Source organism: Homo sapiens, chromosome 11 (genome assembly GCF_000001405.40).
Source record: "Homo sapiens chromosome 11, GRCh38.p14 Primary Assembly".
NCBI lineage: Eukaryota > Metazoa > Chordata > Mammalia > Primates > Hominidae > Homo > Homo sapiens.
The window spans coordinates 30,378,079-30,384,078 of NC_000011.10; positions in this window are offsets into that span (position 1 = coordinate 30,378,079).

Sequence of the window (6,000 nt, forward strand, 5' to 3'; positions counted from 1 at the left end):
TTTTCAAAGTGCTGTTAGGCAAAGATGGTTAGATTTGTTTTATACAGTACCAGAAGGCTAGAACTTTAATGATGGGAGTTACAGAAGGACAGATTTCAGGTCACTTTAAAAATATATTTTTAAATTCAGAGGCTTCCGAAGACGCAGAGGGAAGCTATAAGGAGCAATGAGTTCTGTGAACAGTGGAGCTACTTAAGTAGAGGCTGCACAGTCATTACCCATGGCCATTGTCTCCCAGGCTCAAGCTTGGAAGACTGGGTGTTAATGAGTTTTCAGAGATATCACGCTGCAGAGTCTCTGCTTCTACCTGTCTGTCGTACTCTCATGCTCCTCCTTCTGTCTCCAACTTTGTTCTCACAGTAGAATCTTGGGGAGGGGGGCTGAGAGAGATGGGAATAATGAGAGCAGAAAACACGAAACAACAATCTTTTTATGAAGAGGAACTGAGGGCTCAGAAGTGAGATTAATAGCATGGCATGTTCAGCAGTTGAGAGGGAATCCACAGCAGACAGCTTCCAGAAACACCTCTACAAGCTTCTCAAAGACCTAATCACATCCTGAGGGAAAGGCTCAGCGATTCACTAAACGGTGGAGGCAGTTGCTTTGACATTAGCCTTTTCAAAGTGTCACTTCCACACCATGAGCCCAACATGCCACCCAGAAAATGTAACTGAACATCAGTTTTGCTTTTCCTCTTGCTTAACTGTTTTAAATGTCCTTGAACTGCATTTCTCCACCAGGCTTAATTTTATGGATTGTGGATTACATTTACTGCTCAGCACTTCTTGCTCAACCCTGGGCAATCCCAGACCTACTGAGTTGTTAACTCACATGGTCAGCATTAATGTCTGAGACTAGTTATAGCAAATGACTGTAGCATAGCGCGAATAACACCTGGCCTTACAGCATCCCAATGAAATCAGCACTTTGGTTCTTCTTTTGCACCCAGCAAAAACCCAGGAGGAATGTGAGAGTAATGACTTGGGTTAATTGTGCTTGTCTTCCGAAGAGTTCAAATTTCTATCCCAGTCTTACTACCTCCCTTATCTTGGAAAATTGTATTTGAAAGCCGTAGAATGGATAGTTTCCCCATCTTACGGGCATGTTGTAGAATTCCATAGAAAGATTGTAACTTCTTCAAAATCACACAAAAAGTCATTATGTTATCCTGCTTCTTCTTTTGTCTTGTTATGTTTTCTTTCACTAGCCCAAGTCACTTGGCTATAATAATTCCAAGAAGTGGCTGTAGAAAATACAAATGGTTTTTGAACCATAAGAATCATAAAGCTGAAAAGGACCCTAAGAGATATTTATTGTTTGCACCTTTATGTTTCGAACATCTTCTCAGATAAAGTTGACTACGACTTGCTACATGTATGACCATCTTGAAGCCACCTTATCTAGTGATGGAAATGAAAAACCCACTCATGTCAGATGAATGAATCCAAGAAAGTAGAGTACGGTGAGTATAGCTAGTCTCTGAAGCTCACTAAAATCATTACTAAAATATTCCCAGTTCGGTGTTAATAACTTTACCAACTTTTCTGTTTTTTTTATTATTATTTTTTCAGCCCCATTTGGTATAGATTGTTGTACTGTGGAAGTCTGTCACGTGCTAGGATGCTCAGGTTAAGAATGTCAGCAATTGTATTTAGGAGGAGGGCTAGCTGCAGCTGCTGAGGGTGGGAAGAAAATTCTGAATGTCCTCTCTTGATTCACTCAACCATCCCTCCCATTGCTCCCGTGAAGGGGAGGTTGACAAATTCCTGATATCAAAACCAGCTGTCAGAACAACATAGGGTAATAGCTGTCCTTGTCAAATGTACCAATTAATTCACCTGACTGTCAATGCTGGGATTATTGATAGACTCCACAATCTGGCTGAGTAATGAAAGTTGAAGGCATTACTAAGTCCATTTCACCTCTGAACAGGTCTTGTAGTAGAACTGGGGCTGTCAGAGCTGGACAATATCAATAAACTTTTACCAAAATTGAAGCTTGATTTTTAAAAGTATGTGTGTAGGCAAGGGGTGGGAGTATCTCCAACCAAGTGTCAGTTACTATGAGACCAGTTCCCAAGAATATTACCAGAAAATGCTCAGAGGAAAGCACGGCAGATAAATAAACATTCTACTTGTTTATTCTGAAGTTTGTTTGCAAGCAGAAAAGAATCAACACCTCATTATTTGAGGATACTAGTTAAGATTGCAGTAACCTGGAACTTCCTGTACTACTTACTCAGCTAAACATGGAAAACAGAAGTTTAGATTATCAGGAGGCTAGCCAAATGATTTGGTAGGAAATATTCCTTATTCCTACATCAGGTTAATCCAGAGCCTATCATGAATGAGTACTCACGGCTAAAGATCTTTATTAACATATGCTGATATAATGTAAAATATTGTGAATTCCAGGATAAGGGTCACAATTAGATAGTACCAACAGGGAGGACCAGGGCAGTTAAAACCCTGATTGATTCTCCAGGAAAACAAAGGGTCATTTCTAAGGAAGTCAGCTAAGACAAGAAGGAGCAAGTAGGTACAATAGTATAGATGGATAAGATGTCAAATATAAGGATCATAAGATCAATATCTATGAACACGGTTGAACTCTGGTCTCTGCATTCTAACTTTGTTGCTTGTTTCTTCTACTAATTTATACTATTTGCCGAGCATGGACCATCATCAGCCCAAAGGTAATAGTAATAAAAAATACAATTTATTGAGCACTTGCTACATTCAAGCACTTTGCTTAAATTCTATATACATTATCTCATTTAATCATAACAACCTTATGAGGCAGCTATGAGAGCATAAACATTTTTAATGTTCATAGACTTCTAGCCCAACAAAGAGACATCTGTAATAGCCACCTAATCTTTCCTTGTATTCCTCCCTTTCAAAGGAGAAGGATTCTTTCTTGCTGGGAGAGAGGCCAAACATTGAGATAATTAATAAGATGCTGATAGAAGAGAGGGGTAAAGAGTGGAAGAATGACATGGAGATGGTGGTGGAGGATGGGTTTAGTTTTTCATAGTATTTGAAGGGAGAGTCTTTGGAGCAGCTGCAGGGAGTAAATTAAGTGGATGGGAAAGTGCAAAGGTTGATTTAATATTGCTGTAAACCAAGTATTAAATCCTCTATAAAGTCTGCAGGATTCCAGAAAAAATGAGGATATCTTTTCAACAACTTTTGGGCTGTTGAAATCAGTGCTTATGATATGTGACATTACTCTAAAGCAAAGCTACATGATCTCTGAGTTCATTAGGATTAGGTATAAATATTATCTGTTTAAAGACAATGATATCCAAACCCAGAGAAATTATATAATTCACCTAAAGCTTTCAGTACATCTGTGTAACTATGATTTAGCAATAGGGACAAAACTACCCATTTTTACATTCCTACCCATGCCATTCTGGAACAATCTCATATTCCAGGATGTTCTTTGGTCAATTATACAAATTTCCTTCAGAATCCCAACTCAGAATTGAACTGCTTTTCTCTCAGTAATAATACTTTCAAACATTGAATGCTCACTATGTGACAAGCTGTGCCAAACCCTTGACTTGCATTTTCTCACTTAATCTTCACATAATGCCCAGGTAGGTATGATTATCTCCAATACACAGAAGAGAAAGCTGAGGCCAGAGGAGATGAAGTAACTTCCCCAATGTTGCACAGCTAGCACAGAGCCGAGTCAGAGCTTAAACCCAGCTCTGTTTAGCTTCAAGCCTCTGCCTCCCTTTTATCTTTAGGTTCAGTTTCTTTTGCTCCAGGCAAATGCAAATTGTTGGGAGGAAAACATCTTGAATTTTGTTCATAAACACTGTAAGCATTCTTCTCACCTCTGCCTGTTTTTTTTTTTTCCAGTTGTTTGGGTTGTCTGTTGGTCTAAAATTGGCACACCATTTGAATAACCTGTGTACTCAGAGGAGAGAAGCATAGAGCAAAAGAGAGAGCAGTGAATGCCAGGCAGGCTGGGGCACAGGGGTCCAGCGCTTGGATTAGCTTCCTCCCAGCCGCCTGATTGATAAGCTGGGATTTGTCTAGGCAGGCAGTCTTCAATTTGGATTTGTCAGGATCAGGAAGATTTGTTTTCTTCTGTAGTAATGTGAGGCTCAGGGTGAGTTCAGTGTAAGATTTATTCACCTTGACTATGATCTTTAAAATCATGACCATGTTTCTCAAGTCATCCACCTAAGAAAACACAAGCATAGATTTTTGTAGCTTTTTCCAAGGGAAATAGCTTCTCATGAAAAGAAAACTTCCTTTTTTCTTTTTATACTTCACCTTGAGAGAAGTTATTTATTTATTTAAATTCATTAATTTTTTTCAGATACGAGGTCTTATTCTGTCACCAAGGCTGGAGTGCAGTGGCACAATAATAACTCACGATAACCCTGAACTCTCATTCTCAAGCGATACTCTTGCCTAAGCCTCCCAAGTAGCTTGGACTAAAGGCACGTACCGCCACTCCTGGCTATCACTTTTTTTTTTTTTTTTTTTTTTTTTGTAGAGAGGAACTCTCACTATGTTGCCCAGGCTGGTCTTGAACTCCTGGCCTCAAGCAATCCTCCTGCCTCAACCTCCCAAAGCACTGGGATTACAGGCATGAGCCACTGTGCCTGGCCTGAATTATTTAATAATAATAGTTTTTAAAAGATACAAAGGAAGGAAGAAAAAAGGGCGATCCTGTCCTGATTTTTGTCCCAAGGATCATGACTATGATATTTCCCAATTAGATTTAGCTTCATGTATGAATGAAAAATAGATGTTTGGTATCCAATAAAGTCATCTCTCTCTTCTTCCCCAATACCTCAATTCAGGAGGCTTTCATTTCATTTCATTTTATTTTTACTTTGGCCAACTGAAGCTGTCATGTTCGGGGGCTAAATGTGTTGTCCTGCGTGGGCATCACATCCATCAATTAACGTTTCTGCCTTCTGTGCTAAAGGAATTATCTCCAAGTTCATCTTGATGAATTTTTCTCTCTACCTCATTACCCAAGCTGGATACAGCAGACTTTTCATGTTTAATGGCTGCCATCTTACACACGTTCTGATTCTTTTGAACACACACGTGCCTATTTATGGAGGCCCATGAACATTCCATTGACTACTTTTTTGCATTAGAAACACTTAGATTACAATAGCAATACAAGTCCCTTATAAAATAAAATAAAACATTATATGTATTTTTTTAAGCGAGAGCCCTTGAAGAGATGTTCAATACATAATCAAGAGTGAAGTCATACTATATATATGTATACTATACTACATACTCCTGCAATTTGATTTTTTCACTTACTTTATTTTTCAAATCGGTGTAATGGCAAAAACCGCAATTACTTTTGCACAAATGATACATAGTAAATCAGAAGAACATGAGTAACTGACAGTTTTCTTTATAAATTTTATTACTTAATAAACCTTTACATCTTTAGAGTGCATTTAACTTTGAAACACATTTACATTTAATTTTCTAATTATTCCTTAGATGGACTTATGAGGTTTTATTAAATGACACCCTCAGTCACCAAGATTCTGAGGTAAATTTCTTATGCATTTCCATGTTTACTTGCTTAGTTTCTAACTATACCAATTGAATGTGGATTTTATGAGGGCAAGGGATTTTGTCTGTTTATGCCATGTCTGTTTTTCCCAGTGTAGAGTATGTGATCAATAAATATTTCTGTATAAATAAACAATACTTTATTCTAGATAGCTCTATTTTCTGGATAATTGACAGTTCACGTTTTAAAAATCTAAATGAGTTTATTGCTGAGACATGTAAAAGGCTTCCTTGCCTTTTAAAATAGAGCATATTGTCCATAATCTATTTATTTGGGGTACAAGATTAATACTTGGTTGTGTATTTTACTACCATGATTTTAGGAAACAAGCCATTTCAGTTTCTTTGCCCTTGCCCTAACTGACCTAGACATTCATTTAATTCTATTTGAATCCTTGAGTTTTCTGCCTTAAAAAAAAAGTGACAA